Here is a 13,324-nt window from a genome sequence, read left to right as displayed (position 1 = left end):
ACCCCTGACACTGCACCTTCTAGGGCTGTTGATTTTGCACACGATCATTAGGACTGAGAGATTGTAGTCTACTCACTGAACACAGCGCTGTTACGGATCGGCGGAGACTTGGTCCATGAGTGGCGTTGTCAGGCGAGGAATATGGCTGCGCTATGTCGTGTCTCTTGGGAGCCGCCATCTTAGCACCCATTCCGTACAGTGGGCTGTTCCACAGAAGGCGGGGGCGAGAGGGCGTTCACGGGTAGAATCCCTCTAAGGGCAAGATTCTGGGAGAAGCTGGTCTTTGGAACTCGGTTCTATAAGTTTGGGCAAAGTTTAAAGAAGCAGAGGTGCGCCTCCTACCCAGGGAGGAGGGGGGCGTGTTCTGATGCTCAAGGGAGACACCACTGGGCAAGAGGGGGAAGAAGTCAGGGTGGTACAATCCCCCCCTTGGCGATACCACTGGGAAGAGGAGGAGTAATCAGGTTAACACAGGTGCCCGTCGTGGGCGATACCACTGGAGAAGAGGGGAAAGGAGTCAGGGTGTACAATCTCTCGATGTGCTGCAGTTACCATGGAGAAGACTTGAATTCCCCCCATCTCCGTTACCCTCCTTGCCCCACTACAATGATAGTAGTTAGGAATAATAGCCTTTGATATGGACAACCAATGGTTTGTTTGTTTGTTTTTCTTTTCTTTTTTGAGTTTCACTCTTGTTGCCCAGGCTGGAGTGCAATGGCACGATCTCGGCTCTCCACAACCTCCGCCTCCCGGGTTCAAGCGATTCTCCTGCCTCAGCCTCCCGAGTAGCTGGGATTATAGGCATGCTCCGCCACGCCCGGCTAATTTTGTATTTTTAGTAGAGACGGGATTTCTCCATGTTGGTCAGGCTGGTCTTGAACTCCCGACCTCAGGTGATCCGCCTGCCTCAGCCTCCCAAAGTGCTGGGGTTATAGGCGTGAGCCACCGTGCCCGGCCATGGGCAACTAATGTTTTTTTAGCAAATTATCAATAGAAAAATGCTTAGAGGCCTGGCGCGGTGGTTCATACCTCTAATCCCAGCACTTTGGGAGGCTGAGGTGGGCGGATCACTTGAGATCCAGAGTTCGAGACTAGCCTGGGCAACATGATGAAACTCGTCTCTACTAAAAATACAAAAATTAGCCAGGTGTGGTGGCACACGCCTGTAGTCCTAGCTACTCAAGAGGCTGAGGTGGGAGGATCGCATCAGCCCAGGAGTTAGAGGCTGCAGTGAGTTATGATTGCACCACTGCACTCCAGCCTGGGTGACAGAGTGAGACCACATTTCAATTTATTTTAAAAAAAGAAAAATGCTTAGAAAACAGCCAGGCGCGGCCAGGCGCGGCAGCTCATGCCTGTAATCCCAACACTTTGGGAAGAGGGTGCAGGAGGATCGCTTGAGGTCAGGAGTTCAGGACCAGCCTCAGCAAAATGGCAAAACCCTTCTCTACCAAAAATACAAAACTTAACGGGTGTGGTGGTGTGCATCTGTAGTCTCAGCTACTCAGGATGCTGAGGTGGGAAGATGGCTTGAACCCAGGAGGCAGTGGTTGCAAGTGAGCAGAGATCGCACCACAGCACTCCATCCTGGTCAACAGAGTGATACCCTGTCTAAAAAAGAAAGGAAAGGAGAGGAGAGGGGAGGGGAGGGGAGGAGGCCTGGCGCCATGGCTCACACCTGTAATCCCAATACTTTGGGAGGCCAAAGTGGGTGGATCACCTGAGGTCAGGAGTTCGAGACCAACCTGGCTAACATGGTGAAACTCCATCTCTTGTATTAGTAAAATACAAAAATTAGTCGGGCATAGTGGTGCGTGCCTGTAGTCCCAGTGACTCAGGAGTCTGAGACAGGAGAATAGCTTGAACCCGGGAGGTGGAGGTTGCAGTTAGCCGAGATCACATCACTGCACTCCAGCCTGGGTGAAAGAGCGAGACTCCATCTCAAACAAACAAAAAATGTTATTGATCTTGGCTGGGCGCGATAGTCCACGCCTGTAATCCCAGAATTTGGGGGAAGGCCGAGGTGGGCAGATCACTTGAGACCAGCCTGGGCAACATACCTTGTCTCTGCAAAAAATAAACAAAATTAGTTGCGCATGGTGACGCGCACCTGTAGTCCCAGCTACTCAGGAGGTGAGGAGGTGGGAGGATCTCTTGAGCCTGGGAGGTCCAGACTGCAGTGAGCCATGATCGCACCACTGCACTGCAGCCTAAGGGACAGAGCGAAACACTGTCTCAATCAGTCAAATGGTATTGATCTTGATTACTGAGTTTTTTTGGTACCCCCTTACATTTTACACTTAAGGCGAATGCCTCCCTCACCTTACCCTAGTCCTAGCCCTGCAGAGAAACCTTGTTATCTAAAATCATAGACTATCGGAAAATTTCCTGTTTGAAATAATATCAATAAGAATAAAACCTCCTACTCTTCCCTGGAGGATCTAAGTTACTTTGACACAGAGAAACAGCCTTGATTTCTGACCCAGGTGCAGAGCTTCAGATAATGGGTATCTGAAGCCAAAACTTCACATCTATGTTTAGTGTTTTTTTTTCTTTTCTTTTTTTTCTGAGATAGGGTCTCACTCTGTCACCCAGGCTGAAGTGCAGTGGCATGATCACAGCTCACTGCAGCCTCAACCTCCTAGGCTCAAGTGATCCTCCCACCTTAGCCTCCCAAGTAGCTGACAGACTACAGGCACACGCCACAACGCCCGGCTACCTTTGTTCATTTTTTGTAAAGACAAGATATTACTGTGTTGCCCAGGCTGGTCTTAAACTCTTGGGCTCAAGGGATTCACCCACCTCAAGTGCTAGGATTACAGGCCTGAGCCACTGCACGCAGCCTATCTTTTGTGGGTTTTTTTGAGACAGAGTCTCGCTCTGTTGCCCAGGCTGGAGTGCAGTGTGTGATCTCCACTCACTGTGACCTCCGCCTCCCGGGTTCATGCGATTCTCCTGCCTCAGCCTCCCGAGTAGCTGGGATTACAGGCATGTGCCACCACACTCAGCTAATTTTTGTATTTTTAGTAGAGACAGGGTTTCATCAAGTTGGCCAGGCTGGTCTCCAACTGCTAACCTCAGGTGATCCAACTGCCTCAGCCTCCCAAAGTGCTGAGATTACAGGCGTGAGCCACTGCGCCCAGCTTCTTTTGTGTTTCTAAAGAAAAAGGACCCTAGGTCTGCTTCACAGTCTGAACCTAATGTTAATCCTTTTCCATACCAACCTCCTTTGCTTTGGGCTTGTCAAAACACTGCTTCATTTAAACTTTACCTAAACTCCACTCCTATATCCTATACTAATCCCATTTCTTCCTTTGTTCATTGACACTAAGGTGATCAACCAACTCTGTTTGCCCAGGAATAGGGTTTACTGGGACAAGGGCATTCAGTACTAAAAGCAGGAAAGTCCTGGGCAAACTGGAACAAGTTAAGTTACCTTAGGTGAGACATCCCCACAGTTCCTGTGGGGCGTGGTCTTCCTTGCCGCAGCAGGTTAATAAACCCATCTCTTTTGCGACTATGGATGTGACCTTGGTAGTCTTTATCAAGGTCATTAATGTTGGAAGAGTTCACAGAGGTGAAGTTTGAGATCAGTCCTAGTATGTATTGACGGTGGAAAAATGAATAGGCCTGATTCAGGCTTCAGGTCAGCGGGGTATTGCTGGGGGAATAGTTAAAGGCTGAATGCTAAGCTGCAGAAAGGCAGTGATGGTGGAAGAGTTATCAGAGCACTAGATTGAGGTCAGACTAAATACTGCTGGGAAGCCGGGCGTGGTGGCTCACGCCTGTAATCCCAGCACTTTGGGAGGCCGAAGCGGGCAGCCTGGCCAACATGGTGAAACCTTGTCTCTACCAAAAAAACAAAAATTAGCTGGGTGTGGTGGCTCACGCCTGTAATCTCAGCTACTCGGGAAGCTGAGACAGGAGAATCGCTTGAACCCGGGAGGCAGAGGTTGCAGTGAGCCGAGATCGCGCCACTGCACACCAGCCTGGGCGATAGAGCGAGACTGTCTCACCAAAAAAAAAAAAGATGGGGTTTAAAGTTGGTCCAGAAGTGGTGAAAATGTTAACAGGGGCCCAGATTTTAGATTTTGACAAGGGAGTTATTGACGGTGGATTAGATAACAAATGACCAAGTTCGAGGTCCAGCCAGATGAGCAGTGGTGGCAGCAGAGTTCATAGAAACCAGCAGTTTGAGATTTCTTGTCTAGACCAAATCTGGGGAGTTGTAGACAGATGGTGCAGCTGACCAGTGGCTGCATCGGGGAGGTGGGATCTGGTTCCTGGTGGCCAATGGGATGAAGTAGCAGCCTGTTCTAGGGAGAAGCCCCTGTTGCTATGTGCAGGGTGAAAGGGACCTGAGTTGCTATAAATAGTTAGCCAATGAATGCACGAGAAGATGGGCTTTAGTCTCTTCAGCCTATGGCAGTCATGGTAAACTGTTACTAGGTAGTAACTAACCCCGTTGCCATGTGAAGCGAGGCAGCCAAAGCCTAGCTTGAGAAGCTGTGGACAGAAGGCGCAGTTAGCTAATGGCTGAATATAAGAAACAGGCTCTGGTCTCCCAGGTCAATATGAGGCTGCCTGATCTGTAAATCAGCAGAAGTCCCCATTGTCCAGTGCAAGGAAGGGGCAGGACGGACATAGCCTGACGGGGAGGGTGCAGGTAAATAGCACAGCTGGAGGTATTTGAAGTGGGTGGGGGCACAGCCCGAGGTTGCTTTGGAGAGATGGTGCAGCTAGCCAATGGCTCTGTGTGGGAGGCAAGCTTTAGTCTCCATGGCCAATGAAATGCGAACATCCTTGTCACTAGGCGAAATAATTTTGCGGTTCAAATTACATCATTAAGAATGAAGCATCTTAATGCCTGAGAGACTAAATCACTTTGACACAGAACAGGAGCCTCAATTTCCAACCCAAGTGGAAGACAGGGAGGAGATGTAACATGAGAGGTTGCAGACAGATGACACAAAAAGGAAAAGAAATAAGTTAAATTAACTTTAATAACATACTTTGTTTGAACTACATTAACCAAACATTCTTATTTCAACAGGTAATAAATTTTTAAAATTACCTAGATATTTGGCATTCTTTTTGTGGTAATAACACTGTGAAATCAGATGTGTATTTTACACTGACAGCACATCTCAATTTTGAAAGCTAAATTTTCATCAGAAATACTTGATTTGTACTTAGATTTCACAAAATTTAGTTGAAAACATAGGTTAACATTCCTGGCGTGGTGGCACACGCCTGGAATCCCAGCACTTTGGAAGGCCGAGGTGGGTGGATCACCTGAGGTCAAGAGTTTGAGACCAGCCTGGCCAACATGGAGAAACCCCGTGTCTACTAAAAATACAAAAAATTAGCCGGGTGTGGTGGCATGTGCCTGGGAGGTTAAGGCAGGACAATCGCTTAAATCCGGGAGGTGGAGGTTGCGGTGAGCCAAGATCATGCCATTGTACTCTGGCCTGGCAACAAGAGCGAAACTCTCTCAAAAAACAAAAACAAAAATATTCACAAGTGGCCAGGCACAGTAGCTTATGCCTGTAATCCCAGTACTTTGGGAGGCCAAGGAGGGAGGATTGCTTAAGGCCAGCAGTTCCAGACTAGCCTGGGCAACACAGTGAGACCCTGTCTCTACAAAAACTAAACAAAATTAGCTAGTCATCGTGGTGCTCCCCTGTGGTTCCAGCTACTCAGGAGGCTGAGGAGGGGAGATGGCTTATGGCCAGAGGTTCCAGGCTGCAGTGAGCTATGATTGTGCCACCATACTCCAGCCTGGGCAACAAAGAAAGATCCTGTCTCTAGAAATAAATAAACAAACAACAACAAATTCACAAGTCATTCCAAATATACTTTAAAAGTTTTCCAATAATTTAATTATCTATTTTATTGTGTGTGTGTTAATTTTTTTTATTTTTTACTTTTGTGGGTACATAGTGGGTGTGTGAGTATCTAATTTAAATGTTAAATTAACTAAAATGAATAAATTTAGAAATTCAGTTCCTCAATCTGATTAGCCTCATAGTTTTTTGTTTTGTTTTGTTTTGTTTTGTTTTTTGTTGGAAACAAGGTGTTGCTCTGTCGCCCAGGCTGGAGGGCAGTGGTACAATCATAGCTCACTGCAGCCTCGATCTCCTGGGTTCAAACAATCCTTCTGCTTCAGCCTCCCAAAATGCTGAGATTACAGGCATGACCACTGTACCTGGCCTCATTAGCCTCAAGTGCTCAATAACCATGTGGCTATTTCGGCCTTATCTGATGGCACAATTCTAGACAACATGACTTTTTTTTGAGACAGGGTTTCATTCTGTCACCCAGGCTGGAGTGCAGTGGCATGACCACAGCTCACTGCAGCCTTGACCTCCCAGGCTCAGGTGATCCTCCCATCTCAGCCTCCTGAGTAGCTGCTACTACAGGTGCAAGTCACCACACCCCAGCTAATTTTTGTAGAGACAGAGTTTTGCCACGTTGCCCAGGCTTGTCTCAAACTCCTGGGCTCAAGTGATCCTCCCATATTGGCCTCCCAAAGTGCCAGGATTACAGGGGTGAGGCACCGCACCCAGCCTCAATAACATGCCATTGATGGTGATGGAGCTGAGTGATATTGTGGCATATATATTTGGTTTTGTCCCAGTTTCCGGACAAATGGCTCCAAAAACCCTTGGAATATCCAGAATGATAAGAGTGTCTTTTGCTTGTTAATGAGATGACTGGTGGCTGGGGGCCTCTAGATAGCTTCAGGTTGGGGGCTGAGCAACTAAATAGGGAGTTGGGACTTTGAGCCCCACCCCCAACCTCCTGGGAGGGGAGAGTGGCTGAAGATTGACTTGATCACCAATGGCCAATGGTTTAACCGATCATGTCTAGGTAATGAAGCCTCCATAAAAAACCAAAAGCATCAGCGGTGGCTCATGCCTGTAATCCAAACACTTTGTGAGGTCGAGGTGGGAGGATTGCTTGAGCCCAGGAATTCAAGACTAGCCTGGGGCCGGGCATGGTGGCTCACACCTATAATCCCAGCACTTTGGGAGGCTGAGGTAGATGGATTACTTAAGGTCAGGAGTCAAGACCAGCCAGGCCAACAGAGTGAAACTCCATCTCTACTAAAAATACAAAAATTATCCAGGTGAGGTGGCTCGTGCCTGTAGTTCCAGCTACTCAGGAGGCTGAGGCAGGAGGATCGCTTGAACCTGGGAGGTGGAGGCTGCAGTGAGCCGAGATAGCACCACTGCACTCCAGTCTGGGAAACAGAGAGAGACTCCATCAAAAAAAAAAAAAGAAGAAGAAGAAGCATAGGTCACAACCTGTGCTTGCCATTGGCATCTGAAGTTGGGGGAGGTTTTGTGATACTGAGCCCATGATACTGAGACCATCACCTGATGGTCACCTGACATTGCTGGTCCTAGGTGTGGGAGGAAAGCCTTCTCCTGCCCTGCTCATGCCTAACTAGCTGCCTACTATAACTCTAGGGGATCTGACTTCCAGGTAGGTAATGTTGGAATGGAATTGAATTAGAGGACACTGAACTGGTGTTTGCTGGAGAATGTGCCAGAAATTTGCTGGGGGGCAGGGGGCACTGGGGAACCTCCACACATCTGGTATCAGAAGTGCTGAGTGAGAGTGGAGTGTAGGAAAAGGAGACCAGTCACAGTGGCTGACTCCTGTAATCCCAGCACTTTTGGAAGCTGAAACAGGAGGATCACTTGAGGCCAGGAGTTTGAGACCAGCCTGGGCAACGTAGTGAGACCCCCATCTGATATGGTTTGGATCTGTGTCCTCTCCCAAATCTCATGTTGAATTGTAATCCCCAAAGTAGGAGGTGGAGCCTGGTGGGAGTTGATTGGATCATAGGGGTGTTCCTTCATGAGCGGTTTAACATCATCCTCTTGGTGCTGTTCTCTCGATAGTGAGTGAGTGAGTTATCAAAAGATCTGGTTATTTAAAAGTATGTAGCACCTCCCCCTCTCTCTTCCTGTTGCAGCCATTTAAGTCGTGCCTGCTTCCTCTTCACCTTCTGTCATGATCGTAATTTTCCTGAGCCCTCCTCAGAAGCTGGGCAGATGCCAGCACCATGCTTCCTGTATAGCCTGTGGAACCATGAGCCAATTAAACCTCTTTTCTTTGCCCAGTCTCAGGTATTTCTTTATTTTTACTGTTATTTTTTATTTTTAGATGGAGTCTCTTGCTCTGTTGCCCAGGCTGGAGTGCAGTGGCAAGATCTCGGCTCACTGCAAGCTCCGCCTCCCTGGTTCACATCATTCTCCTGCCTCAGCCTCCCGAGTAGCTGGGAGTACAGGCGCCCGCCACCACGCCCGGCTAATTTCTTTGTATTTTTTTTAGTAGAGATGGGGTTTCACTGTGTTAGCCAGGATGGCCTCGATCTCCTGACCTCGTGATCCGCCCGCCTCGGCCTCCCAAAGTGCTGGGATTACAGCGTGAGCCACCGAGCCCAGCTTTTTTTTTTTTTTTTTTTTTTTTTTGAGATGGAATCTCGCCCTGTCGCCAGGCTGGGGTGCAGTGGTGCAATCTCAGCTCACTGCAACCTCTGCCTCCCAGGTTCAAGTGATTCTCCTGCCTCAGCCTCCCGAGTAGCTGGGACTACAGGTGCGCTCCACCATGCCTGGCTAATTTTTGTATTTTTAGTAGAGACGGGGTTTCACCATGTTGATCAGGATGGTCTCCATCTATTGACCTCGTGATCTGCCCGCCTCGGCCTCCCAAAGTGCTGGGATTACAGGCATGAGCCACTGCACATGGCCCCAGGTATTTCTTTAGAGCTGTGCAAGAACAGCCTAATGTACCATTTCTTTTTTTTTTTTTTTTTTTTTTTTTGAGACAGAGTCTTGCTCTGTCACCCAGGCTGGAGTGCAGTGGCGCAATCTCGGCTCACTGCAAACTCTGCCTCCCAGGTTCACGCCATTCTCCTGCCTCAGCCTCCCCAGCAGGTGGGACTACAGGTGCCCGCCACCACGCCCGGCTAATTTTTTTTGTATTTTTAGTAGAGACAGGGTTTCACCGTGTTAGCCAGGATGGTCTCGATCTCCTGAACTCGTGATCCGCCCGCCTCGGCCTCCCAAAGTGCTGGGATTACAGGCGTGAGCCACCGTGCCCGGCCCTAATGTACCGTTTCTTAAAAAAAAAATTAGCGGCTGGGCGTGGTGGCTCACGCCTGTAATCCTAGCACTTTGGGAGGCCGGGGCAGGTGGATCACCTGAGGTCAAGAGTTCAGGACCAGCCTGGCCAATATGGTGAAACACCGTCTCTACTAAAAATACAAAAATTAGCCAGGCGCGGTGGCACGTGCCTGTAATCCCAGCTACTCGGGAGGCTGAGGCAGGAGAATCGCTTGAACTTGGGGGGCGGAGGTTGCAGTGAGCCGAGATCATGCCATTTCACTGCAGCCTGGGCGAAAAAGCGAAATACTGTCTCAAAAAAAAAAATTAGCTGGGCGTGGTGGCATGTGCCTGTAATCCCAGCTACCAGGAGGCTGAGGCAAGAGAATCCCTTGAACCAGGGAGTTGGAGGTTGCAGTGAGCCGAGATTGCGCCACTGCACTCCAGCCTGGGACAGAGCGAGACTCCGTCAAAAAAAAAAAAAATTAGCTGAGCGCCTGTAGTCCCAGCTACTCAGGAAGCTGAGGTAGGAGGATCACTTGAGCTGGCAGCTGGGATGTTGAGGCTGCAATGAGCCATGATGGCACCACTGCACTCCAGCCTGGGTGACAGAGAGAACCTGTTACAAAAAAAAAAAAGAAAAAAAAGGAGTAGGAAAAGTACTTTTGGTTTTTCCTAAATCACATCAAGCTGAGAGAGACATGATTTTGTATTGTAGACCAGAGGACCATGAATGATAAGAGTTAATAGAGGCCAGAGTTAAAGATGTATGAAAGATGGGTGAATTGCTGACAGAAGCCCATATTCAAGGACAGACAACAGTAGCATTGTGGGCTGGGTATGGTGGCTCACACCCGTAATCCCAGCACTTTCAGAGGCCAAGGCAGGAGGATTGCTTGAGGCCAGGAGTTTGAGATTACCCTGGCCAACATAGCAAGACCTTGTCTCTAAAAAAAAAAAAAAAAAAAAAAAAGGCAGGGAGCGGTGGCTCACGCCTGTAATCCCAGCACTTTGGGATGCCGAGGCGGGCGGATCATTAGGTCAGGAGATGGAGACCATCGTGGCTAACATGGTGAAACCCCGTCTCTACTAAAAATACAAAAAAAAATTAGCCGGGCGTGGTGGCGGGCGCCTGTAGTCCCAGCTACTCGGGAGGCTGAGGCAGGAGAATGGCGTGAACCCGGGAGGCGGAGCTTGCAGGGAGCTGAGATCATGCCACTGCACTCCAGCCTGGGCGACAGAGCGAGACTCCGACTCCAAAAAAAAAAAAGAGAGGCCGGGTGTGGTGGCTCAAGCCTGTAATCCTAGCACTTGGGGAGGCTGAGGCAGGTGGATCACTTGAGGTCAGGAGTTTGAGATCAGCCTGGGCAACATGGTAAAACTGCATCTCTACTAAAAATACAAAAATTAGCTCGGCATGGTAACGCATGCCTGTAATCTCAGCTACTCAGGAGGCTGAGGCAGGAGAATGGCTTGAACCTGAGAGGCAGAGGTTACAGTGAGCTGAGATCATACCACTGCACTCCAGCCTGGGGGACAAGAGCAAAACTCCATCTTAAAAAAAAAAAAAAGGCCAGGTGCGGTGGCTCATGCCTGTAATCCCAGCACTTTGGGAGGCCAAGGCGGGCAGATCACAAGGTCAGGAGATCAAGACCATCCTGGCTAACACAGTGAAACCCCTTCTCTACTAAAAATACAAAAATAAAATAAAATAAAATAAAACTAGCCGGGCGTGGTGGTGAGCCTCTGTAGTCCTAGCTACTGGGGAGGCTGAGGCAGGAGAATGGCGTGAATCCAGAAGGCGGAGCTTGCAGTGAGCCGAGATCGTGCCAGTGCACTCCAGCCTGGGCAACAGAGTGAGACTCAGTCTTAAAAAAAAAAAAAAAAAAAAAGAATAGGCATTGTTGATGGAATAATTAACAGAGGGTTTAAGGTCAGACCTGAGAGGCATTGGTGGTTAAAAAATAGAGATTTCCAGTCTGGACAAGATAACATAGACCTATTTCTCCCTGCTCCTTCCTGCTGAGCACAACTATCAACCCTGGAAATAGTACAAGAGACAACCAAAGGGAAACTATGCATGGCGGCAAGAAGAAACTGAACTCCTTGGCCAGGTGCAGTGGCTCACCCCTGTAACCCCAGCACTTTGGGAGGCTGAGGCAGGCGGATCACCTAAGGTCGGGAATTTGAGATCAGCCTGACCAACATGGAGAAACCCCATCTCTACTAAAAATACAAAATTAGCCAGAAATAGTGGCGCATGCCTGTAATCCCAGCTACTCGGGAGGCTGAGGCAGGAGAATCGCTTGAACCTGGGAGGTGGAGGTTGCGGTAAGCCAAGGTCGTGCCATTGCACTCCAGCCTGGGCAACAAGAGTGAAACTCCATCTCAAAAAAAAAAGAAAAAGAAAGTGAACTCATTTAGGATTCCAAGACTGGAGAAACAGCACTACTACAGGGCATCTTATGTCCCCCCACCCACCAGAAGAAGGCAACTCAAGCCCAGCATTTCGTGACCCTGATCCAAGCCATGGAAGGCAGCCCCGATAGGCTAGTTCCTCCCCTGGATGAAAGGGAAGTCCCTCTGATAACGTGAGGTAAACCCAACACCAACAGTGAGGGGGTGGATCGGGAACCCACTAACAATAAGTGGTCATGAAAAGTGCTGTCCTTCTCCACAGGGCCAGGGATAAGCCTCCCCAACAAGGGACCTCCCCCCGACCCCACCCTGCCCAGGCGGATAGAGACAACCTGTACTGCATCAAAAAGACACAGCCATAGCAAGAGGCCAGGCCTGGACAATCCCTTAACTTAGGTGCCTTGAAGACCAGAGACTCCCTTCTCCCAACAGGAAGCCTGGGACTAGTAGGTGAAACTGGCAGAAATGATATAACCACAGCAGGTGACCAGACTCAGAAAATCCCTCTCCTGCTCAGAGGCACCGGGGCAAACAGGCATCACCAGCAAGGGGACCCAACTACAACAAGCATCCTGGCCCAAGAAGCCCCACTGGCTTTGCAGGCCTGGGATTCTGCTTCCCTGCAGAGACACCTGGGCAGCCAGAAGGCACGGGTAGGGGGACCTCATCACATCGCCCCATCATCAAGAAACACCCGGAGGCCGGGCGCAGTGGCTCCCTCCTGTAATCCTACCACTTTGGGAGGCTGAGGCGGGACTATTGCTTGAGCCCAGGAGTTCGAGACCAGCCTGGGCAACATGAGGAGACCTTGCCTCTACCAAAAATTAAAAATTAGCCAGGCGTGACATCACATGCCTGTGATCCCAGCTACTCGAGAGGCTGAGGCAGGAGGATCACTTGAGCCCAGGAGGTCGAGCCTGCAGTGAGCCATTATCACGCCACTCTCCTTCATCCCAGGTGACAGAGTGAGACTCTGAGAAAGAAAGAAAAGAAAAGAAAGAAAGAAAGAAAGAAAGAAAGAAAGAAAGAAAGAAAGAAAGAAAGAAAAGAAAGAGAAAGACGTGGAGATCTGGCCTGAAGGAAAGAAAGAAAGAAAGAAAGAAAGAAAGAAAGAAAGAAAGAAAGAAAAAAGAAGGAAAGAAAGAAAGAAAAGAAAGAGAAAGACGTGGAGATCTGGCCTGAAAGAAAGAAAGAAAGAAAGAAAGAAAAGAAAGAGAAAGACGTGGAGATCTGGCCTGAAAGAAAGAAAGAAAGAAAGAAAGACGTGGAGACCTGGCCTGTAGAAATTTCCCCTGCTTCGTCAGGCAGCACCAGCAGAGACAAGTGGGAGCCTCAGAGGTACCAGATAGACCAAACAGACAAAAATAACACCACAAAGGCTCTGAAGACTAAACCGCCATTAGAAACACAGCAGAAAAACTAGGCCAAAACCTACATGATAAACCTAAATAGAGTGACTGCCTGCTAAAATAAGACTTAAATAGGACTCCGAGTCTCCTAACATAATAGACCAGGATGCACCTCAAAAAATTAAAAATAGGCCAGGCACAGTAGCTGACACCTGTAATCCCAGGACTTTGGGAGGCCAAGGAGGGAGTATCACTTGAGCCCAGGAGGTAGAGACCAGCCTGGGCAACATAGCAAGACCCTGTCTCTACAAAAAATACAAATATTAGCTGGGTGTGGTGGCACACGCCTGTAATCCCAGTTACTTGGGAGGCTGAGGCAAGAGGATCACTTGACCCCAAGAGGTGGAGGCTATAGTGAGCTGCGATTGATTGTGCCAC

The 13,324-nt window shown here is 49.0% G+C and overlaps 2 annotated features.

Annotated features, from left to right (window-relative positions):
• Window positions 48-377: an enhancer, noted in NCBI's record as "active region_29591". NCBI's record gives its function as "activates an Ori minimal core promoter by ATAC-STARR-seq in GM12878 lymphoblastoid cells {active_cell/tissue: GM12878}" and the evidence as "EXISTENCE:reporter gene assay evidence [ECO:0000049][PMID:35858748]".
• Window positions 4,503-4,702: an enhancer, noted in NCBI's record as "active region_29590". NCBI's record gives its function as "activates an Ori minimal core promoter by ATAC-STARR-seq in GM12878 lymphoblastoid cells {active_cell/tissue: GM12878}" and the evidence as "EXISTENCE:reporter gene assay evidence [ECO:0000049][PMID:35858748]".

Source organism: Homo sapiens, chromosome X (genome assembly GCF_000001405.40).
Source record: "Homo sapiens chromosome X, GRCh38.p14 Primary Assembly".
Taxonomy (NCBI): Eukaryota; Metazoa; Chordata; class Mammalia; order Primates; family Hominidae; genus Homo; species Homo sapiens.
The sequence above is the reverse complement of the archived record's forward strand: the minus strand, read 5'-3'. Positions and strand labels throughout refer to the sequence as shown.